A 26320-nucleotide genomic window follows, 5' to 3' on the forward strand; every position below is an offset into this window, starting at 1 on the left:
AATTTTATATCTGGATGTGTTTTGGAATGAAAGTGAATCATATAAAAGCATGCAGTTAGTTTTTTAAAAGATTGAGAAAGAAAAAGAAAAAATAGAAAAATTATAATTGATGTTGGATTTTATTAACATGAAAAAAAAAAAGAAAACAAAGAAGAGCAACAAATGAAACAAACCCACAAGTCATGATGTGATAGTAACAGGTAACAGTACGCTACAGTCACTTAATCCAAAATTCTAGTGAAGAGTAGCAGATGCTATAAAATGTCTTTACACTAAAATCTCTAAAATAAAATACCAAAATTGGAAAATAAACTTCTTGAAAGAAATGTTTTAGCTATGAAACTAATAGACGTTAAAGTTGAAATAACTGAATGTTTCATGTGCTCTGTAAAGTACACTAACCTCCAACTGCCCTCCCCAACCCTGCCCCCACAGCCCCCGGCCAAAATAAAACACAACATAGAAAGCTTCACTTAAAGACTCCATTCTGGTGTACACAAATGAAAGTTGGACAGGTGGAAACCTTAATTTGGAAGCCTCTTGACTGAATGATAAAACAGGCCAGAAATTGATTAATCTCTTTCAACTACAAAATGGAATGCAATGTGCTATTAAGCATATTAAAGCAACAATTTCATTTCCTCCAGTGCAAACTAAGGAGGAAAAGCTGCTTTTCCAGAAAATTATCTATTTTGTAGGCATAGGAGGTTTCAGTTGAGTGACCTGCCTTACCCTTTTTGGAGTGGGTAAATTATCGTAAGACTCACAACAAAACATCCAAATGTGTTCCAATGATATTTCACATAGCTTTGCCCACGGTAGAGGTAAACAGAAGTCACATTTCTGCACTTATGGAAACCTTTCTGTGTTAAAAATAATGGAAAACTGACCTTGAAGAATATTTGTGCCTTGTAAAGTGTTAGAGAATATCATTCAGGTAAAATAGTTATAGCTACATGATGTCAAACAGCTGGTGTTCGGACCAAACACAAATAACTAACTGGCTTGACTATTTTTCTTCAAAAACTTTTATCAGTTAAAAAGTTAGGTCAACTCACTGCATACATGCACAATTTACTGAACTAAACAAATTAGTTATTCCTTAAAACAGACCTAATTAATGTTAATGGACTTTTCTGCTGCATATATACAAATATATATTACCTGCTGAATGACACTGAACGTGTACAAATTGAAGGCCTATTAAGATACTACTGTAAAATAATGGCTGTAAAATAATGTCTGAAATGCTAAATCATGATGAGGAATGTAACACAGAAATTTATACAGTTTACATTCTGTAACCGACTGCTTACCCTAAAATAGACTTACAAGAAACCCAAGCCTAGCCAATGTTTTACTATTGACTACTAGCAACATACATGTGCACACACACATATATTATAAGTATTCAAAATTTAAAATAATATCAAAACAAATTCATGTCATCAAGGTGCTTGGAATTTTACCTCTGCTTATATTAATAAAATATAAATTTTACATATTGCAAAGCATATTCATTTTTAGTATTCTATCAAATTTCAAACATATTAATATTTATATTAATGTTTTAGAAAAACATTAATATATGGGGGAATGATTGCATCATTTTTATTTGGTACACATGAAACAGAAAATATTAAATAATTTAAAAGTAGTAACATATTGGCATGTCAGATGCCTTGCCTACCTGTTGAATGATATATCCATTACAAAAACTACACAATAGTATTTTCCTTTCTTCTACAATAGATTGCCAATTCATTGAATTTTCTGTCTTTCACCATTGTATTAGCCAACATTTAGATTTTGGCTATCACATGAGTATTATGGTTTAATAAGATAACGTTCTTTATTGAGACTCAGAATTCCTTTTTGAAATTTTAAACTATTTAATTAACAAATAAAGACTGTATATACACAAGGTATACAAGAAAATTTGTTATACATATATTGTATAATAAATATCATGATCAAATTACCACATTCATCACCACCCATGATATTCATTGACAGATAAATGGATAGAACAAAATATGGTGTGGGTGTGTGTGTAATGGAATAATGGAATACTATTCAGCAAATTAAAAAGGGAGGAAATGCTGTCATTTAAGATGAATCTGCAGGGTATTATAAGTGAAATAAGTTGGGCACAGAAAGACAAATACTACATTATTTCACTTATATATGAAATCTTAAAAAGTTCCTTCTGAAGGTCAATCTAGTTTATTTCTAAGCCCTTCCAAAGAGACTACAGACTCTTAATAATTTGTTCACAGTAAACTCATCACCTTTTAAGTAAATGCTCAGCACAAGAAGGAAACTCAAGTAAGTCATTGTATAATTGGACATTAGATAATTGACAAAGGCCAGGACATACGTAAACCTGTTTGTGCTTTTCTAATAGTGAATCTATAATTATACGTATAAAAAACAGAAAGGAATAGAAAAGGAACCATGCTTTTGATCACTCTCCCCCACATTAGTACCATGCGAAAATTCCAAGTAGACTTGTGTTACCAACTTTGTTGTTATGAATTATTTTGTTCCCCACATGGATGTTTAGTAACATAAATATATGCACTGTGTCTTTGAAAACCAGGGTTGTGAGTGTCTTACACAGAGGAAAGGAGAATGGTTAAAGAGCCATTAAAGGCATGTCCCTGCTTTCCTCTCTAATGCTCCTTGCAGCCCTGGGTTTGGCCATCTGCCCTTTGCTTTAGATATCTGTCCACTCATCCACAGGCCTTTCCTATTATCTTGAAAGATTCCAAACTTCTTCAAGTGATTACTTTTCTAAGCTTTTATAGTCCATTTTCTCACTTTTAACTGGTTTATGATGAGAGGTTCTTTCATTAATTGTGCAATAAGGCTTCAATCCACACAGGTTTTCTGAGATTACAATGAATTTTTTCCCTGGGTCTTTCTGACTCTAAATCACTTGTGAAATTTCTTGGCAGTAAAAGAACAAATCTTCTTTGTTGTTGTTGTTGTTGTACCAATGTAAATAGTGTGTTTGGTCATAACAAAACCAAGGCAGTCTTTTTTTTTTTTTTTTATCTTCAAGGGATGATGACGAAATACAAAGCGATGTTTGCAAAACCTCAACCTGGGAGAACTTTCTTAAAGCACATAAAACTCATTTGGTTTTTATTCACGTCAAGGCAAAAAGAAATGAAATATTACGGATACACAGAATACTTTCTGCATGGGATTTTATGCAATTTTCCTCTTCATTTTTTTTGAAAGGCTGAGGACATTGAAAGTAAACTTTATAGGTATACGTCATTATTTTTAAAGTTCTCAACAGAATGCAATACTGGGCCAAAACTGAAAAGATGGAGTTGAACAAGGATCCATATAAAGTGTAGCTTTTAGGTTCAAAAAGCTAATGGTACAAATAAATCTGTGATGCAGCAGGACTGGGAGTTTCCATTTGGTTGCAGATGAGAAAAGAGTGATAACATGGACAAACGGCAGAGACTGCACTGGAGGGTGCTGTGCTCAATTCCCATCCACGTGCTAAAAAGAGGTACTGACAAAACAGAGGTCACATAGAAGAATGCTTCCAAATGTTGGGCAGCTGAAAATAAAGAGATTTTCTCTAATCCATGGGGAATAAAAGAGAAAAACAAGGACTATATTCTGCTTAGGTTTGCTAGGTGTGATACAAATAAGTCGTCAGATAGGAACTCTTTCATTCTGATATGACTTTCTTCCTACTTTTAAGTAAAGTTTATTTTTGTACTTATTCAGTAAAGGTGAGATTAGTTAGATGGTAGTGATGTCTTTAATGCAAATCCACAAACCTTTCATTTGATTTGATTTTAGTGGTCCATTAAATTCAAAAGCCAAAAAGGGAATACCAGGTTACCTAGGAATTGTATTTTTGTACATTGTGAACACACACACACACACACACACACACACACACACACACACACACCATATATGGAACCGCTGAACAATCTGAGCACATTTAGCTTAGCAAAATTCCAAAGAGAAGCATGATAATTATCTGCGAATCGATCTCAATGGAAGGAATGAAAGTGTTTTTGCTGTGGGGCAAGGTGGGCAAACATGTAGATCACTAGATGGTTTTTTTTTTCTTTAAAAATAACTTTCCAAAATCTGTCTTGAGGAGTTGAATAAAACTGTCAGCACATGAGTTTAAAGAAAACCTGAATGAAAACCTGCAAGGAAGTAGAGAGCATTTCGGTCCTTCATATGAAAGTTGGAGAAAATGATTCTCCATGTTTTCACTGTAAGATCACATAATTTTGTAATTTAACAAGTTTAAAAAGTGTCTTTCCACATTTGTCTTCTAAATTCACTTAAATACTTCCATCCACTAACACTGACAAGAACAATGCCTTCACATACCCACACTATTAGAAAGGAGAGAAGAAATTGTAAATCCTGTGGATGGGGTAAGTACAGTTTTACTCTTCAATGTTTAAAACTTCTTTTCATGTTTTCCTCGAATTTATTTTATTAAGAATTTCAGTTGTTATAGTTAAGGTCTTCTGGTAAATTGTATGTGGTAGTAATCCTGTGTCTCCTTCAGTAACTGTGTAATAAAATTTCAAACCTCAGCTCTAAAATTGTTGATAAATTGAGAAAAACTGCAAAGGCATAAGGAGTTAAAACCTTTAAAAGTACAAAAACAATTGTTATTTTTTTTTTGCTTGTTGACAGATTACTTTGCTATGGGCTCAGTTTAGATTCCATGTTGCTCCACACACAGTCCTGCCTACGGCTCCCTTTTATCTTGTAAATGAAATTTAAAGTTTCAGTTTAGCATTTGACATGTAGAAGGCACATCTTCAAATTATCTCCATTCACCCACCACTTCACTCTAGCTGCACTTCTCCTCTATTTCTTCTTCAGGCCTCTTAATTTTTGGTGTCCTTACCTTTGCTCACACAGCTTCTTCCATTTCAAATGCTTTTGCTTGTCTCTACTTGGTGGAGTGCCATGTATCTTCAAGGTTCAGTTACATATGAGTTTATCCAAAATGTCTTTTTCATGAGTCCATCTAAAAGTAATCAGAAGCTCTTTGGTTCCATTTTCATGCCAAAATTATTTCTGTTTAATTTATTTTACATACTAGATTCTAGAGGCCCAGAAGGCAGGAACTGTTATATATTTATCTTCTCAACTGCCACAACTCCTATAATGAACATATGTTGATAGACAAAACAGTCAGAGCTGTCCAGAATTAATTCTACATATGTTTGATTGCACATGCTTCACACACATATGTACATACATGCAGAGGAAAAGCTACAATCTACCGCAGACTTGGAGGCAACCCAGAATTTCAAATGGCATCATTTGTCTCATAACAGAAAATCTTGAACACCAGAACCAGGAGCCCTGTTACTTCAGGAGTGAAGAAAAGCAGATTCAGCAAGCTTATTTGCCCTCATATTTTATTTACATACAATCTTATGGCAGTCCTTTAGATTTCTACATGAAAGACAGATGTGATAACTAATGACACAGAGGTCACTAAAGAGAAAGAACCAACTTCAACTGATATCAGAGCTTGGTATATTCACAGTATCTAATGAGGTCTTGCTTCCTAGGTTACTAAAGACATTGTGTCTAATGTTTCTTTGTTATATTTTGTTTGTGTGACTCCTACATGCAATCTCCATCTGGCAGGGAAGAGAAGCTAGAAGAGAGAAACTTTTAAGAAAAATACTAAATTATTATTTCTACAGGGCTCTCACATCCCAAAGATAACGGCAATGTTTCAAAACCAAATGTTAATTCACATCTACAGGGGAAGGTGTCTTTTTAAAATTCAGACCTTGACTCAGTAGTTCAGAGTGACACCTGAATTCTAGATTTTTAACAAGCTCCCCTGGTGATGCCAATGTGGCTGATGCCCAAACACCACCTTGAAGAGCAAGGATGTAGGGTAGAGACTAGCATTTGAATCAATCACAACTAAATATTAAATAAGTTTAATGGCTATATATATATATATATATAAAGCATAAATACACAAATGCATGTAAAACATAAATACATAAATCTTGGCAGAGACTTTACATTTTAACATAAAATAAACATTAGTCTGGGTAGGACTGACACAGCTTTCGTATTGTTACGACTGTCATTTTAAAATTTTTATCCTTTATTAAACACGCATGCTAAATACCTCCATGGATTTGTCACCACTTAAATGATCGCTTATGGCCCCCAAACCATGAATATCAACTTTCCTAAGCACGTCATGGGTCGGAGGCCATCCTCCTACGGAGGTGCAAAAAAGAGGGTGTGTGCTCAATGAAGGCAACAATTAACCCTCGGAACCAGGACCTACGCTCTCCCTTTCACATAATAAACAAGCACAGAAGACATATTGCATTGAAAAATTGTTTGCTCACATAGAAAAGTTTAAGGATATGATTTTGTTGTAATGACATTAGATACACCCATGGATTCATGGGTGCATTATTGTTATAAGTTCATACTAAAGGCTACAAATTAACATGTGTACTGACTCCCAGTTTTCTTCATTGTAAATATTAGCTCAAGGATACTTTGAAAAACAAAAAAAAATTATATGCAGATGTGACTCTGGACTAAAGACTTGTGTTAACACATACAAACCTTGCTCATACAAGCTTCTGATGAGATGCAAGAAATAGCCCATGCCTTTAAACAAGGAACAAGGCAGTGATTGAGGTAGTATGTACTGATTTGCAGCAAATAAACACAGGAAGGTGTGAAAAGTGTATGATATATCTGGCAAAGTGAGGTCAACTCCATATTAACATAAGGTAGGAAGATGGAAGACATCCCATAAATGTTACTGGGGTGGGACGGAGAGGGGGAGATTTGTGGAAAATATTGGACATTATTTTGGAGAAACAGCAATTTTGGAGAAATGAAGAGTAACATTATGGAGAGCTTCACATTCCAGTTAACAACACTGGCCCTCATTTCTTTTTTTTTTTTTTTTTTTCAGTCAACAGGTACTATCGAAAGTCTATGTGAATGATAAGGGGCTAGAAATCTATACAAATGCAGGCCCCAACTATGAAAAAGTAAACAGTTTGATAGACAGTAAGGAGCCATGGTTAATATAAACAGTGGTACAGATCATGAATCCCAAAATATCTGTTTCTATTATTTTGAAAAACTTAGGAGAATATCTGGTTATGTGTATACACACACATACACACATACTTTCTCCTTGTGTAACTGATTAAATTCTTGATTTTTGTCACTGAAGCATAAATCTGTCTGTCCTAAGACCTTAAGAAAACTCTTAAGAGTTTTATTGGCTAATGAGTAAAATAAAGCATCTATCAAATGAATCCACTTAACTAATTTGAAGTTTATTCAGTCTGAATATTTAGATTTAAATAATTTGAAAAATTCTGTCAAATCATCTTGAGTTTTGTAATTACATCATCCTTGATGGTTATTGATAAAAAATTATCAATAAGCTTTTATTTTGAACATTATAAATTGTATTACATTATTTTCCACTATCAATTGTTCAGGGGCTGATGGGAGAGACAGATTATCTCTTTATTTGGCTATTTCTTTTATATATCCAACTGATGGTGGCATCTCTTCAACACCACCCTTCAAAAGTGACAAGAGAAAAGTAACATCAAAATATATCTCCTCTATTCTGTTACTGAGGCAATGCAAGAAAAATGTCCAATGGAGAAACTGATTAAAAAGATCAAAAGAACTGTGATTGCATTTTGACTTCAAGTGTACCTGCTTATCTCTATTATTCCTCCATACACGACTATTTCTACATAAGTGTGGGTGTTAGGCTAACTAAACTGAAAATTTCTGGAATAAATGTTTATCCATGTATGTATTCCCACTTACTATAAATCTCAAATCAGCAAAGCTATAAAACAATTCATTTTTAATTTTCATATATTAATAAAACCACATGCATTATTGTATTACAGATCACTTGCTGAGTCCATAAAAAGCATGTATAGGCTTGGCGCAGTGGCTTATGCCTGTAATCCCAACACTTTGGGAGGCTGAGGCGGGCGGATCATGAGGTCAGGAGATAGAGACCATCCTGGCTAACATAGTGAAACCCCGTCTCTACTAAAAATACAAAAAATTAGCTGGGTGTGGTGGCAGGCACCTGTAGTACCAGCTACTCGGGAGGCTGACACAGGAGAATGGCGTGAACCCGGGAGATGGAGCTGGTAGTGAGCCGAGATAGCGCCACTGCACTCCAGGCTGGTGACAGAGCGAGACTCCATCTCAAAAAGAAAAAAATAAAAAGAAAAAGAAAAGCACGTATAATTGCCAAACTTTTGGCTTCTCCACAAAATACAAGTTTGAAATAAGTTCTTATGCACAATGGATAAAATGTTTAGGTATAGAATTGTTTTATTCAGAATCTCAATACAGGTTTTACGAGAATGCACCAACCTAAAGAACAAGACCACTGAAACCCTACCTCCAAATGATAAGACTTTCTGAAGCCAAGCTAGATGATCTAAGCTGAAAGAGTGTGAGGATAACTCTACAACCAATTCCAGTTGCCTGGCCAGGAACCACCAAGATCTCAGGGTAGTGGTGTATAAGGTGCTTGTAGATTTTGTAATAGACTTCTGTCCTCATGTATCCAAGAGTCAATGGGTTAAGAAGAAATGGCAAACAGCAGGGTCAGGAGAAATACCACCCACTGTCTTTTAAGGATATCCCTGTATCTTAGTAGAAATGGGTTCATTTGTGTCTCTGATTTCTTTTGTTTTTGTTTTTGTTTTTTGAGATAGTCTTGCTCTGTCACCCAGGCTGGAGTGCAGTGGCATGATCTCAGCTCACTGGATCCTCTGCCTCCCGGGTTCAAGCAATTCTCCTGCCTCAGCCTCCCGAGTAGCTAGGACTACAGGTGCATGCCACCACCCTTGGATAATTTTTAGTATTTTTAGTAGAGGCGGGGTTTCACCATGTTAGCCAGGATGGTCTCCATCTCCTGATCTCAGGATCCACCCACCTCGCCTTCCCACAGTGCTGGGATTACAGGCGTGGGCCACCGCACCCTGTCTTGTGTCTCTGAATTCTTGCAAATGCATCTGGTTCTCTCGGGTCCAGACCCACATTCCACCTAGTCCAAGAGACAGACTGGTTTTGTTAGTACCTGTCAGGTTTGGTGCTAATTCCAGTCTTCAACATTCACAGAATCCATCAGCCATCACTCTGTGTTCTCCCCTTACCTTACTGTGTTCTTACCTTACTGTTCAGTGTCTCTGTCCATCCTCTCTGTTTGGAGCCTCAATTAGCTATCTTCAAATGGCATTTACTTTGCTTTTTTTTTTTCTGGGACTTAGTTAATTGAAATTGCTGATCTCTTCCCAGAGAATCTGTTATTCTTACCAAATGTTGTCCCCCCCATCCTCCAGCTGTGTCATGCTGGGAATGAAGAGCCCATCAAGACAGCACCTTGTTCTTCAGGGTACGTGAAACCAGAGCAGGTTATGATAACTTTTTTGTCACATTCAACATTCAACAGTGTGAAATATCTATCTAGTAATAATCTGTAATTCTACCAAAATACCAAATTAGTTTTCATTCCAATATACAGCCATTCATGGATAAGGTAGGAATATAAAGTGAATGCAATCAACATAAAATTCAAGCAAACCTTAGCAAGTTATGCCAGCCTTTGCTGTCCAAGCTCAGGACATTTTGTGAAATATGTACAGAGTTATTGCATCAAGGTAGATTTCTCCTTTTTTTCAGAGGGATATGTTTGATTTTCACATGTATACATGCATACAGCAAAGAGAACTCTGGACGCCTAAGGAGAAGAAATAATTCATCTTCCATGGATCAAAGAAGGAGAAGATTTTAAAAATCAACATGATGCTTATTGTGAAAGAGAAGAGAAAGGACAGACAACACAAGGAGGAACATCTGTAGAAGGAAAGCACCACCCCTCCTGATGAGCCCTGGAAAGTCTCGATGGATGTCTGCTATTCTAACTCAACCGAACTTCCCCCTTCCACTCTCAAAAAGGTCTTTGTTAGATGATGAATTATATTTTCACAGAACAAGTAATCTGGAAATCTAATTGCTAGTTCTTAAGTGGACCCTAACTATTCTTCCCTTCAGCAAGTCACTGAGGCTCTTTGTAAAATGGGAATTGTAATATCCTATGATTTCTCTCAAGATCGGTTATGAAACAAACATGGTATCAATGATATGTCCACACCTTTAAAGTTTTAAATGTTACTCAAATACCACGCATGTTGTCATAATTCTAGCAAGGTGTTAGCATTCGGTAACAGGATGTGTTTTCCTCTGAAATTTGTGCTCTTCCTTCTTCTATAGCTCCTATCAATTATACCCCATTTCCTTGGCAGCCATTATAACATGTCTTTGACCTAATTTTTTGCAGTAGTAGTTGAGTCGGACTTGCTGTAATGAAGGGAGCCGAAAGAGAAGAAAGGAGCTAATAGTTACTGAAGATCTACTTCATTCAAAGCATGAAGTACCACAGTAGCAACAGATGATGACAGTAATGGCTGTCATTTGTTGAGTTTTCACTAACAGACTTCTGTCCTCTTGTAGCCAAGAGTTAATGGGTTAAGAAAAAATGGCAAACACCGGCCAGGCGCGGTGGCTGAAATCACACTTGTAATCCCAGTACTTTGGGAGGCCAAGGCGGGCAGATCACGAGGTCAAGAGATTGAGACCATTCTGGCTAACACGGTGAAACCCCATTTCTACTAATAATACAAAAAATTAGCTGGGCATGGTGGCAGGCGCCTGTAGTTCCAGCTACTCGGGAGGCTGAGGCAGAAGAATGGCGTGAACGCAGGAGACAGAGCTTGCAGCGTGCTGAGATCGCGCCACTGCACCCCAGCCTGAGCGACAGAGCAGGACTCCGTCTCAAAAAAACAAAAAAAAAGAAAAAAAAAAGGAAAAAAATGGCAAACAGCAGGATTGGGAAAAATACATGCACCTGTCTTTTAAGGATATTCCTATATCTTAGAAGAAATGGGTCCACTTGTGTCTCTGATTTCTTGCACATGAGTCTGGTTTTCATGGGTCCAAACTGATATTCCACCTAGTCCAAGAGGACTGACTAGTTTTGTTAGTGCCTGTCAGATTAGGTGCTAATTCTAGCCTTAATTACAATTAGGAATTACGGTAATTCCAATTAGGCATTGTGCTAAGCAGCTTGCCATAGATGGAAACATTTAATGCCTATCAGCCATCTTTGAAATGAAATCACTCATTATAAATAAGGAAGTGGGGTTCCAACACATCAAACAATATTTCATAACAGGACTTCATATTCAAAGCACCTGATTCCAATAGTGGTTCTGTTACTTATGAACTGTGTCACCTTGGACAAATCACTTAATATCCCTGTCCTCCTAACACATCTGACAATGGACATAATCATAGTACCTACTGCAAAGAGTTATTATGAGGATTAAATGATTTAATATAAGGATTTAAATATGCCCACTACATAATAAGTGCTATGTAAATGTCAGTGATGGCTGCTACTAGCACTGCTATTATTGCTGTAATAAATATTTTTATTGCCATCATCATTATTAAGATCTTTGTGTACCCAAGGGCACACAACTTGTAACTGACAAAATAAGATTCAAATCTAGGTATTTTGAGCACTGACCCAGTTATTCAGGCAATTAATACTTATTTGGTGTGTGCTATGGTGCCAGGAATGAAATGATGAGCAAGACTGGGCGTCCTTTATATGTAGCTATTGGTTTTGGTTTCAAAGGCTCACATTCTATCAGAAAAAAAAAAAAAAGTAAAAGTTAATTTTTGTGATGGTTGGAAATAACAAGGTGTCATGTGAGAGCACATATTGGGTGTAAATCTCCCACTCTAGGAACGCCTTTTAAGTCTGTATCTGAAAGGTGAGTTATACATATGTAACAAACCTGCACATTGTGCACATATAGCCTAGAACTTAAAGTATAATTTTAAAAAATTAAATTAAAAAAAAGGAAGAAAATAATCACACAAGGGGTCATGGGAGAGCACCCCAGGCAATGAGAAGGATGTGAGTGAAGATCTGAACTGGGATCTATGATGGGAACTAGAAAGACATTGTGTATGGAGGTAAGGCGGAAGGCAGGTTTTGAAATGAGTTAGAGAAAATCAAACAGGAGAGGAGGAGTCAGTTCAAGGAAGTTTAGGAAATGGAATGGTGGTTGCACGGGCTGGAGGGAGGACATACAGAGTCGTTGTTCAGTGGGTACAGGGTCTCAGTTTTGCAAGATGAAAAAGTTATAGAGATCTGTTGCACAACAACGTGAATACACTGAACACTAAGAACAGTACATTTAACAATGGTTAGGTGGTAACTTTTATGTTATGTCTTCCTTACAAATATTTTTAATATATTAAAAAAGAAAGAGAGTCTTAAAAATTGTGTTAAGAAGTTTTAATTTTATCTGGCAAGTGATGAGAAATAATTAGAAGCTTTTTAGAGAAGGAACTGACACAACCAAAATAGAAACAGAATTTCCACCCTCTGGACACCAGCTTTTGTGGAGGCTGCAAGGAATAGCAATGCACACATCTGTTTGATACCTTTTTTTTTTTCTAGTGGGCCACAAATTTAAGCTGAAAGAAAGAAAAATAAACTCATCATTTTTCTGGCATTAAACAAACTTTTTGAAACCATTTTATATAGTTTGTAAAATCTTTTAAAGTAAACATAATACACTAGAAATCACAAAAATGAGAAAATCAATATCCCCGCAAGTAAAGGATATCCAGTTAAAGTGCTCTTCAACCTCCTCCTCCCCAAGAATTAGTCACCAATCAAACTTTAATGGGTAAAAATAGCGACTCCAGTAAATTAAATATCACTAGATGCTATTCTCCATATAATGTCCACTTACAGCCTTAAAATATTTAGTTGTCCTGTTATTATTTTCTTCAGACTAAATCACTAGTTCTCAAATGATGTACTTTCAGAACATCTGGGATCTATACCACTGTGTTTCATATTAAAATTCAAAAAAAAAAAAAAAAAAGGCAAGCCTTTCCAGTTCACTGCAGATAAAAATAGTAGATAAGAATATTTCCACATTAAATGCCCTTCAAAAATTTTTCTTGAAGCTTTGGGGCCTGCTTTTGCTTGTCTTATACAAACAACATTAATGAAAAAGCAGCACATAGATATTACTAGTAAACCTGAAAATAGCTGATGACTTCGGTCATTGACTTATGTACCCATGGTTACAGGGATACACAATGCAAACATATGATATATCTACTAGTAAAATGTTTACTGTTTTGTATCACTGAATTAATACATCAATATTATACAAAGTTATACAGACAGGACTACCAGGTATACAATGATCTGGATGAGATTTCCAACCATTAGGGGTCTACCGTACCTAATCACAAGCTGTCCTATGCTGTGTCACCCTATCCTAAGTGTGTCACCTCTTGTTTTCTTCCTGTTACTTTGCATTATATATCTAAATTGATTTAATAGTCTTGATAATTTGATCTACTTAGTTTGGTCTGAGAGCCTTTCTACTAATGGCCGGCCTCTGGGAAAGTCGACCAGGCATAGAGGTATCAAAATACCAAGAAAATGTATCACTGGTCACTCTTTTATTTTCTTCTACTTCTTACAACTAGGGTGAAAACATTATGGAAACTGGGCATGTTTGAAGAGGAAATAAAAAGGCAACATATTTAGATATTGCAACATATTTAGGCCAAAGTTTATTACTTATTTCAAAATTAAGTAGGTGATGTTTGTATATATGATGTTGCATAATGTTTTAACATTAGATACTGTAACACATTTAGGCCAAAGTTTATTACTTATTTCAAAATTAAGTAGCTGATATGTTTGTATACGTGATGTTGCATAATGTTATAACATAATACATATGTTGTATGTGTATATATTATATATGTGTGCATATATGTGTGTGTATATATAACACTTATACATCTGTGTGTGTGTGTTTGTGCGTACGTATGTAGACAGAGAGAGAGAAAGGAAGACTTCGGCATGAATACACCAATATCTGGTAAAGTATTCTAATGAAGGGACTTTGTCTTATCCAGGTGACACTAAGGTAAGACAAATCAATGAAGGGAATACTGAATATATCTGACTTTGTAAAACCAGCACATACAAATTCCTGGGACTACATCAAGATGACCATTCTGTGTTGTCAAGCGTGGAATGCATCATGGTTAATATTGAGAAGTCTCTCCTATCATAAAACTATTCATCAGATGACCATGATCTGTATGATTGGTGCAAACAGTGCCAAATGTCCAGTGATGGATTGGGATTCACTTTACTGGAGTTTACAGTTTTTTCAGCAAGATACTCCTTGTGCTTAAGTCAACTATATGATCTCAAGTCAAGCTCTGCAGACGGCTGCATTCAATTAATAAGTTTCCAGACATTGAACTGAAAGAATCAACTCAGATTTTAAAGTAATTTATCTTACTACGTGGGTTACTTTATGCATGGAGGACATCCAGTCCCTGCTTTTCAAGTCACTGCAAATTACAGCATCCTTGCTAAGTCCTCTCTAAAACAAGAGCTGCTCCTCACCCACGGAAAGAGACGTCTAGTAGATATATTTGTCACTTCTCTGAATGATCGTTACAACTGAATGGAAAGAAAATATGTTGCTAGGATTAGAATATCCCAGGAATCCCCCCACCACACACACAGCAGCTCAGCCACAGAGATACTGAAATCTCACCACTTTCTTCATTTTTCAGCTTTGTTGTGTTAATTGCAATTTACAGATTTTTCATTGCACCACAAATGTTCAACAAGCCATAAATATCCAATTCAAAGAGCTGGGTCTCATCAGAATCTGTTCTGAATGAATCCAGTCCAACAGGGTTTCTAATTTTCTCCTTAAAATATTTATCCAACAAGAAAACTCTAAGCCTCAGTAAGAGGTTAATGTGCATGGGACAATATTATAGAGTTATATAAGTAACAGCATATGGAAGTGCCATTTTATCTTGATTATCACGATATTATATAGCTCAGCACATAATCTTGCAAGCCTACTTACATAGTATTTGCTTATTTCGTTCTGTTTATGTGGATGTACATAACTGTATATGTATACATTTATCTATTTAATGATAGATTTAAAAGTGAAATTGTTTTCATCTTTAATGAAACCATTTAGTAAATAGGATCCCTGCCCACCCATCCTTTTTATTTATAATAAATGGAAATAGATAACTTGCTTGCATCATTTATGAAACCTGGTCTCACTGAATAGTTCTGAAATACTGCCTTAGTTTATTTAAGCTACTAAGTAAATAAATATTTAAAGTAATAAAGGTTACCTAGATTTTGAAGATTCTGAAGGGAATAAAGTATTTAGAAAACGCCTACTATTAAACTTTTATAAATATTTGAGGAACATGTCTATGACAAATCACATCCTTTAGGGTGTAATCAACTAGCTGTTTTAAATTCCTCTTTATCTAGGTCACATTGCTCTCTTTTTAAAAAAATAGCTATGTTTTAGCTGTTTCTGTTCCTTTGTTCACGTAAAAATAATAACCATAAAGAACAGAAAATCATCTATAATAGGTCCATCGAAGGCAACCACTGTTTACATTTGATGATTGCCTTTCATACTGAGTTAGGAGGTGAATGTAATTACAGATGTACGTGCAGCAATAATGAGGCCTTGCTACAGCCCCATTAGCCTGAGAAGCTTAGCAGGTCTCTCTGAGGACAGTTCTTAAAAGATAAATCTGTACCATCCCCAGTGATCAAGTAAATACAATAGATATAATTCATTTTAGACAGCAATCTAAAGCCAACAGGGACTTAGCAGCTGCGTGAGAAATGCTGCTTTGCAAAAGAATAAATAACCGATAACAATGTGCTCAGAGAAACATTTTTTTTAATCAAATGAATATCAGACAAAAAGAAAACACAGGATTAGGTCACCAGAAATTAATTTCCTTTCAAGGGAAATTTTACTACAAGATTGACTGAAACGCAGAACTGTTCATAATAATGGTGATGGGGGAGAACTTAACTGAAGTCTGTAGTGAATTTATTGTCTCAAATATCTGCTGCGTTAATGATCAATACATATTTAAGCAGATGGGCTAAGTGTCAAACAGGATATTTTAGAATGGGTTTCAACCTATGAGAGAATTTATATCTGTGTATGTAAAACATTTTTAAAAATCCTTAAAGCAACATTCAGACAGCAAATTCAATTGAAAATAGAAGACAAATTTTATTAAAACAAATTCAAAGCAAGAAAATTTCTAACTTTTAGATCATCATAGTTGATTTAAAGCAGTTCACAGAAAGGCAGAGACTGTGGACTCCTACTTCAGTCTTTGTTTTAATGCCATCTGACCCACAATAAGAAAGCTACAGAAGTAAAACCAATTTTATTCATATTTTCATGTTAAAAACAAAGCCTAAAAACTATCCAGAGTGATTTGTTTAAAATTTTATTTTATATTATGGCTAAAGGAAGCAGGCAACTGACAACAGAAAGACTTAGACGTGTGGAGGAAAAACAACCAAACGGGTAAGACAGAGTCAGAGAGAAAAACCTAACAAAACAGGAAAAAAATATAGAAAAGGAAAGATGGATTTACATGCAGAAAAAGACAAGGACACACCTCATGGTGTGTTTCCCTCACAAAGAAACAAAATAAATGTTTCATATGGGGAGAAACCGGTAAATCATTAACAACATTGAAATCTACAACATGTGACCTTTTAGGAGTTTTTCTAAAGTTAAAGTCACATTGTGCTTTGTGACTGGATGCATAATTGGCTTGTCACTTCCTGTCACTTGCCTCCAGGGCCAGATGAAATTAAGTCAAGGACTCAGGATTCCCTCCTGCTGCTGTATGTCCAAGTGTAATTGGCAGCAAAGACCGATTGTCCCCTGCCTTGGTGTTCTGTTGCAGTAACTGGTTATTCAACGCAGTCCCACTGTCCTAAAATGCTCTAGAATGTCTTACAAGGATTTCAGCTGTTGGCTCTCATCAGAATATTTTAGGTCACAGGTCTACATGTAAATTAGAAGACGACTGTATACCTTATGAGAAGAATCTTAGAACTGCAAGTGTATCTGAAAGTTAGGGGAAAGGTTCCAAATGTATCATGTGCTTTCATGGGATAGTATAAAAGTTATCGGTACGCTGCTAATGGTCATTTTTCCCCAATATATTTCACTAAAGTATCACAATTAGGAAACTCTGGGAAAATTATCATGACACTCTGGTTTGACTTTATGGTCCATTATTTTTTAATCTTGCCCTTTTTATAACAGAATTTTTCTCTATTTATATATGATAGCATACCCTGCTCTAGCATATACTTCAGGCCATTGCTAAATCTTTAAAGAGCGTTTCTCTCATTTTCATGTTTTATATGAGAAGAGACACAATTAAAGAGTGGGGAGAGATGTATGAAGTAGAGACACGTTGAGAAAGTAAGGACTACCCGGAATGATCCCCGGGCAGTCAATCCACAGATTCCTCCTCAGAACCCGTCTATGATGAAGGGGGAGAACAGAGCTGGGTTTAGATTGATGTGAATGCAAACCTCAGCGCCCTCACTTAAGAGTCTTGTGTCCTTTGGCCTGTCACTTCAATCGTCTGAGGCTCAGCTTCCTTAATTAAAAATGGAATCCATGATACTTCATTGATCCAATGCCTCCTAGGATTATTTTGAGAATGAAATGAGACAATACATGCACAAGGCTTTGAGCAGTATCTGGCACAAAATAAGCACCCAATAAATGGATAGTAATTTGTTTCTAACATTATGGCTCTGACATGCTAAATACTGTATAATTGTGGCAAGTTATTTCAATACTGTAATCCTTCAATTTTCTTTCACAAAATAAAAATAAATATATTTCCTAGAAGTGAGACTCATTTTAAGGATTAGAAATAATATTTGAAAATATTCTAATACGATGGGACACAATAAACTGGTTAATAATCCACAGTAGCTTTTATAAGAATTTGGAATGTGAACTAAATCTTGAGACTTATTTTTTTCTACTAAGTGAGATTTCCAAAAAGCGTTTATAAAGAACAGGATGAACAATTGGAATCATTCTCGGAATAACTTTCCCTTCATCTTTAACATCTGATAAGCAAATGGAAGAAAATGGACTAAAACCTTTTTCGCAAGTAAGGGCATACAAAGTAATACTACCAATAACATTAATAATGAACAGCAGCAATTGACTGGCAGATACAGCAATTTCTTCAGAGTTTAGAAATGAACACAGGTTTTACAAAATGGGAGAAAATTTTCGCAACCTACTCATCTGACAAACGGCTAATATCCAGAATCTACAATGAACTCAAACAAATTTACAAGAAAAAAACAAACAACCCCATCAAAAAGTGGGCAAAGGACATGAACAGACACTTCTCAAAAGAAGACATCTATGCAGCCAAAAAACACATGAAAAAATGCTCATCATCACTGGCCATCAGAGAAATGCAAATCAAAACTACAATGAGATACCATCTCACACCAGTTAGAATGGCAATCATTAAAAAGTCAGGAAACAACAGGTGCTGGAGAGGATGTGGAGAAATAGGAACACTTTTACACTGTTGGTGGGACTGTAAACTAGTTCAACCATTGTGGAAGTCAGTGTGGCAATTCCTCAGGGATCTAGAACTGGAAATACCATTTGACCCAGCCATCCCATTACTGGGTATATACTCAAAGGACTATAAATCATGCTGCTATAAAGACACATGCACACGTATGTTTACTGCAGCACTCTTCACAATAGCAAAGACTTGGAACCAACCCAAATGTCCAACAATGATAGACTGGATTAAGAAAATGTGGCACATATACACCATGGAATACTATGCAGCCATAAAAAATGATGAGTTCATGTCCTTTGTAGGGACGTGGATGAAATTGGAAATCATCATTCTCAGTAAACTATCACAAGAACAAAAAACCAAACACCGCATATTCTCACTCATAGGTGGGAATTGAACAATGAGATCACATGGACACAGGAAGGGGAATATCGCACTCTGGGAACTGTTGTGGGGTGGGGGGAGGGGGGAGGGATAGCATCGGGAGATATACCTAATGCTAGATGACGAGTTAGTGGGTTCAGTACACCAGCATGGCACATGTATACATATGTAACTAACCTGCACAATGTGCACATGTACCCTAAAACTTAAAGTATAATAAAAAAAAAAAAAGAAGAAATAAACACAGGTTTTAGTCCTAAAAAAACGGTTCCATTAACCCTTATATAATCCACCAGTCCCTGATTAAATCACCAGCTGTGGAAAGTTTTGCTGTCTGAGCCTAAAGTATAATGGGTTACCATCACCACTTAGAGAATTCCATCAATATACATCCTCCAAATATCTCAAACTTCAAAATTCAATTTTTTTTGCTTTGTTTTGTTTTGTTTTGTTTTGTTGAGACGGAGTCTCGCTCTGTCACCCAGGCTAGAGTGCAGTGGCGCGGTCTCGGCTCACTGCAAGCTCTGTCCCCTGGGTTCACACCATTCTCCTGCCTCAGCCTCCTGAGTAGCTGGGACTACAGGCACCCGCCACCACGCCCGGCTAATTTTTTGTATTTTTTAGTAGAGACGGGGTTTCGCCGTGTTAGCCAGGATGGTCTCGATCTCCTGACCTCGTGATCCACCCGCCTCGGCCTCCCAAAGTGCTGGAATTACAGGCGTGAGCCACCGCGCCGGGCCCACTTTTGTTTTTTATAATAATGATAATCTCCAACATTAGCCAAAGTTATCTAAGACGTTCTTTTGATTACTTATGCTGTTTGGAGCTGCCTAAAATTCAGAGGTAGTTGTTTAGTTCTCCTTGAAAGTGTAGATGAGGGGTAAAAGGTCAACTCTAAATTGTCAACTCTTTTGCATGCCTAAAACTTTAAAATGTCAAAAATGATTTAATATTATTTATGCATAACAAATTATTCATAGAATATAGAAATGTAACTCTAGTTTATTATTAAATAAGAGCTCTACGTTTTAAGGAAAAATACAGTTCATAAGTACCTACAACTGGGCTTTCACTTCTGAAACAGACTTCAAGTACCATGGTTTCACAAGTAAGTAATATGAACTTTCTTATCCAGTGATCCTTCTAATCACTCTCAAGCCATTGTCCAAATATGTTTCTCCAAAATGCAGGGTTTACTAACAGCCTTTTGAGAGCTGCCTATTGTAATTAGGAAGACATGTTAATGGCCTGGGTGAAATCTCAATGGGCTCATTGTAAATGTTCATTTGATGGCTTTGTTCTCACAGACTTTGTACTAGTCAATTAAATCTTTAATGACCTGACTTACATTTTTCTCTTCCCTTTTGAAATAACTTGCTGATTTCTTTTTTTGCTTTGTTTTCTTTGCTTCTGGCAATCTTTTGGTTGCATTATTCCTTTTGGCCTAAATAGTCTTTGGCCTTTAGCAGACCTTGTGAGTTTCTGGTCTTTTTCCTTCCTAGGAATGAGGGAGCCTGGGTGTAGCTCCTTAAATAAAATCACCTGACATGTTTCCTCAAAGGGGCATAAAACAATTTCATTTGAAATTGTATGTCAAATATCGATTTATCTATCTATGTATTCTATCTTGCAGATTAAATTTGCATTATGTTAAGGACTAAATTTACAAAACAAATCTTACCAAAATGTAAAATTAACAGAACTTTTAAATTTTACTTTCTGGATGTTTCCAAATCCTAAATTTATATATTGGTTTGAGATGTTATTTTAACATGTTGTGTGTGTGTGTGTCAGTATATGATAATTACTTGAAATCCGCTTTCAAAAAATGTTTTACAATTGAAAATATAAATAAATTGCAGAAGGCCTATAATTATCATCATAATACATAACATACTTAATGGCTATCAACTGGATTGCATGTCATTTTATGCATACACATATATAAAATATTTGTTTTGTTTTCCTTAACAGCATAAATGTATATATGTATGCATATTATAAACATATATGATACAATATATAAAATCTATAATATGTAATATAGTATAATATATAATATATATTAGTGTCAGAGGCGTTCGAACCAGAGCGACTCCATTTTGAGTCAGTGTTGGGAAAATGAGGCTAGGAGTTGCTGGGCTGCATTTCCAGAAAGGCATTCCTAGCCTGTAGATGTTTACTGTTAAGGGAACAAATTAATAATGTTTACTAAATAGACTCAGACTTGAGAGTGTCCAGATATCCAGATATCTGCAGAACAAAAGCATTTCTTTTCTTTTTTTGACGGAGTCTCGCTCTATCGCCAGGCTGGAGTGCAGTGGCGCGATCTCGGCTCACTGCAGCCTCCGCCTCCCGGGTTCAAGTGATTCTCCTGCCTCAGCCTCTGGAGTAGTTGGGACTACAGGCACATGCCACCACCCCCAGCTAATTTTTGTATTTTTAGTAGAGACAGGGTCTCACCATGTTGGCCAGGATGGTATCGATCTCCTGACCTCGTGATCTGCCCGCCTCGGCCTCCCAAAGTGCTGGGGTTACAGACATGAGAACAAAGGCATTTCTAATTTTGCTTTAAAAATAATAATACTGATTCTTGCAAAATATAGTAATTAAGAAAATTAATCCTCTATCACAAACCCTTGAAGCAGAGCACATCTCCCCATATACACACGTATCGTATCTAGGGTGGACCCGTCCCTCCTCTTACTTTCAGGAACTCCTACTCTGTCTACGGAGTAGCTACACTTTGGCTACTTTACTTTCTTAATAAACTTGTTTTTACTTTGCACTGCGGACTTGCCCTGAGTTCTTTCTTGCGCGAGATCCAAGAACCTTCTCTTGGGGTCTGGATAGGGACCGCTTTCCTATACCATTAGTAGTGAAAATTTTTTAAAATATTGAGGTAAGTGGACCATTTGTCTGATCTGTTATGCATTATTAGAGAGTTTCCATATTTAATGTGAAAAAAACAAAATCTTGTCCTGGCACAAACAATACAATATGTCTCTATTTTTTTGAGATAAGTTCAATGTAAAACATAAATTCAGGGAGTTGTTTCAGGAGTTATATAAATGCTATGTGAAAAAAAGTCCCTAATTAAGAATGTAGGTAATATATCAGTAAAAGCTAAATTAGCCATTGTGAGATTTGCAGCATCATTTACAGCAGGCTTTTCTAAAACATGTTCAACGAGAAAAGAAATTCTGGGGTGAAATATTTGTGGAAAACACTGTGAACTATATCCCTTCTTGGGTCACGGCCTTGACTATTAGCCTGTTAGAAGCCTATTAAAAGCTCTGAGAAGCTTAGGTTCCTATGTGAGAGAAACACTTATTAAAAATCTCTGAAAGCAGTTTTCCATGGAACAAGTTTTTTTAATGCCACATTTTAAAATTCTGTATAAAATCTCTACCATATGTGATTATTTCCCCATTAAAAAATAATGTTTAAATTGTATGCAATGTAAAATTTCAGGATAGATCTTTATTATCTATCACATTTGAAAAGAGGGTTTTTTTTACATTTCATATTTGTTTTATTTAAAGAAGATTAAATGAGTACAGTGTACCTTGCTATGCACCAGCAAGGTAACATGAATAATTTACAATTCCTTTAAGAAGCTCAATGTCATTAAGAAGATGAAACAAAGTACTACTAAGGTAAGCAGTATATTGGCCATGTGTTGTTAGAAGCTAGTTGACTATTGTTTTTCATTCAGAGTCTGACATATTTTACCTTGATCATACTCCAGTTTGATAGATTACTTTCAATTTTCTCATCAGAAATATGAACTGAAGCAAAGATAGTACTAGCAAATGTGAAACTATCTTGATACACATGATAAATCATACTTCAGAGTGATAAATCATACTCAGAATAAACAAGCTCAGAAACAGTGCAGAAAAGACTAATGTCTTTGTTTAAAGCTAATATATGGCTAGACCTCAAGTTATTATGGGATAATCTTGTAATTACTTTGCCATGGGTTAAATAAGCTAAAATTCTGATAAAATAATTTCAAGGACTGATTTCTTATTCTTGTCCTAATTCTATTCCTGTATTTTGAATAATTTTTCTAAAACCAAGTATTATTCTACAAAGATCTCTTATTTTTAACAACAGTATGCGTTTTTAGGCTTTGATTTCCTTATCATTTAAAAATAATGAGTGTCCGCATGTTCTCACTCATAGGTGGGAATTGAACAATGAGAACACATGGACACAGGAAGGGGAACATCGCACACCAGGGACTGTTGTGGGGTGGGGGGAGGGGGAGGGATAGCATTAGGAGATATACCTAATGCTAAATGACGAGTAAATGGGTGTAGCACACCAACATGGCACATGTATACATATGTAACAAACCTGCACATTGCGCACATGTACCTTAAAACATAAAGTATAATAATAATAAAAAAATAAAATGAGTGTCACTATTTTGTATAAGTGTACAATCAACTATATTGTAAAGATCATTTTGTGTTTTTGATCCTGCTGCAGATAGATTTCCCCCTTAAATGATCAAGTATTTTAAACTATTAGTTAAGTCAGCCTGTTATGCTTCTATTCATCAAACATTAATTGTCTCTATGCTCCAGAAATTGAGCTAGAAATTGTACTTTTTTATGAAGGTGAGAAGAACAGTTACTTCAATCATTTCTCTTGATATTTCCAATGGATTTAAGAAGACTGATACATGGCAGCAGTAATCCAGTGTCAATTTAAATATGTGTATTTGTATTTAGGTGCATAGGTGTGTTACAGAGCTCCAATTCTGCATATCATGCTACACATTTTTCTCAATGGTTTACAAATATTAGTGTCAGCTCTAAACAGATTCAAGAAATTTATAAATCAGCTAGGGAAATGAAGTCCACAGGCAACACCACTGGATTCCAAAATCAATTTGAATATGATTTTGTTACGGGATTTCTTTCCAATTTAGGACAAAATCCTAAGAAATTACATTCAGCAATTTTACAGTCAGATAGTATATGTTCCGTTATCTTTTCCTGGCTACATTAACTATGTTGGCCAAATTAAAACCTCTCTGAGACTAAATTGTTTATTAGTGAAATGGAGGTAAATACATTTCTTACCTAACACCAGCATATAACTTTGGTTACTACATTCTCTGTAGTTCCATAATTTATCCAGCAGCCATTTCTATTATGTGCAAGGCTTCCTATTATATGCAATACCTATTATATGCAAAGCTTCAGTGCTAGGTAGTGGGGATGGAAAGTGGAGAAAATAGCTCTTTTTTGTTCTTACGGAGTCTCTGGGAATGGATCACTATTAAATTAGCCATGCTATGAAGGAGCTGAAACCCTTCCTTAAAAAAACAGCCCTAAATCTCAGCTCTTATGGTTCTTCCTTCCTCTCTTCCGAGTCAGGAGGGCTCTTTCTTCCCTGATATCTCTATATTATGCACATGTGTCTTAGAGATCACATCATACTACAGTTATAGATGTAAATGCCTATGTCTCCCAATGAACTGTGAATTTCACTGAGATCAGAAACACAAAGCTATACTCTAAGCTAAACAACATTTTAGATGCTTTCACATTTTATTTCATGTATTCTTTATTTTTAATTATACTTTAAGTTTTAGGGTACATGTGCACAATGTGCACGTTAGTTACATATGTATAAATGTCCCATGCTGGTGCGCTGCACCCACTAATTCGTCATCTAGCATTAGGTATATCTCCCAGTGCTATCCCTCCCCCCTCCCCCCACCCCACAACAGTCCCCAGAGTGTGATGTTCCCCTTCCTGTGTCCATGTGTTCCCATTGTTCAATTCCCACCTATGAGTGAGAATATGCGGTGTTTGGTTTTTTGTTCTTGCGATAGTTTACTGAGAATGATGATTTCCAATTTCATCCATGTCCCTACAAAGGACATGAACTCATCATTTTTTATGGCTGCATAGTATTCCATGGTGTATATGTGCCACATTTTCTTAATCCAGTCTATCATTGTTGGACATTTGGGTTGGTTCCAAGTCTTTGCTATTGTGAAGAGTGCTGCAATAAACATACGTGTGCATGTGTCCTTATAGCAGCATGATTTATAGTCCTTTGGGTATATACCCAGTAATGGGATGGCTGGGTCAAATGGTATTTCTAGTTCTAGATCCCTGAGGAATCGCCACACTGACTTCCACAATGGTTGAACTAGTTTACAGTCCCACCAACAGTGTAAAAGTGTTCCTATTTCTCCACATCCTCTCCAGCACCTGTTGTTTCCTGACTTTTTAATGATTGCCATTTAATGAATGCCATTTAATGATTGCCATTTATTTCATTTATTCTTTACAACAATATAGAAAAGTATTATGTTCCCCACACAAAGATAAGGCAACTGAGGTTTGGATAAGCTGAATAATACCTCTGAGGTTAGTTAGGAAATGACCAAGCTAGGCTGTCAGAGCAGGTTTACTCTTATGCACCTGGCCTAAGAGCCAAATGGTGATATCATAGTCCTAAAGTGTCCTAAAATCACCCTAAAGTGAAAGTTGACCTTGTTTTTCTCTCAAGTCAACTGTACAACTTGCTGGCTTCAGCAGCAAGAGGGAAAGAGGACATGGCATGGCCAACAGCTGTAGCTTTTGAAAGCAGTTGGGAGAGAACAAAACAAATGCACAAACTGAGCTAAATCTGGAGCATTTTTAAAATCATTACTATCATTAGACACATTGATTTGGCAGAGGCAGAGGCAATAGAGGGCAGTGATGAATTGTCTCAGCTATGGAGTCAGACAGGCTAGGTTCTAGTCCTGCTCCATCTCTCATCAGCTGGGTAAGTTTTCTTGGGTAATTTTTTTTAATGTCTAGGTACCTTGGTTTCCTCATCTGTGAAAAGGGATTAGTCATTGACCCTATCTCAAAGTGTGGCAGTGAGAAGTAAAGGAAAAATTGTACACAAGCTGTTTCTGGCATATGGGAAGCTTTCAGTAATAATATCATTCTTAACGCATAAAGAACAGGTCACAGATTTATACCAGCATGACAACGCGGTGAACACTATCACTAAACAAGAGTATAGCCTGACTGATGAACTCTCAAACTGCACCATATCCACACTTATTAATTCATCTATTACATTAATTTCACAAGCATGTATTGAATACCTACTGTGTGCTAGAAATCATGATAGATCTTATGAATACAAAGTTGAGTAGGAAACAATTGCCTTAAGAACATGACAGATTTTAGGATGTACAAAAATGTAAATGCATACTTAAAATACACATGAAATGTGCTTTGATGTAAATGCTGCAATATAAACTAATACC

General features: G+C 36.0%; 1 protein-coding gene across 1 annotated transcript in view, besides 1 other annotated feature; it reads right to left on the minus strand.

The window, feature by feature from the left end:
* NALF1 (NALCN channel auxiliary factor 1) overlaps positions 1-26320 on the minus strand; it is a 703987-nt gene that overhangs the window by 586943 nt on the left and 90724 nt on the right. The window lies entirely within an intron of this gene.
* Positions 20000-20553: an enhancer, noted in NCBI's record as "OCT4-NANOG hESC enhancer chr13:108422800-108423353 (GRCh37/hg19 assembly coordinates)". NCBI's record gives its function as "activates a minimal SCP1, AML or CMV promoter by ChIP-STARR-seq in primed H9 embryonic stem cells {active_cell/tissue: H9 hESC(primed)}" and the evidence as "EXISTENCE:reporter gene assay evidence [ECO:0000049][PMID:30033119]".

Source organism: Homo sapiens, chromosome 13, assembly GCF_000001405.40.
Source record: "Homo sapiens chromosome 13, GRCh38.p14 Primary Assembly".
NCBI classification, from domain to species: domain Eukaryota; kingdom Metazoa; phylum Chordata; class Mammalia; order Primates; family Hominidae; genus Homo; species Homo sapiens.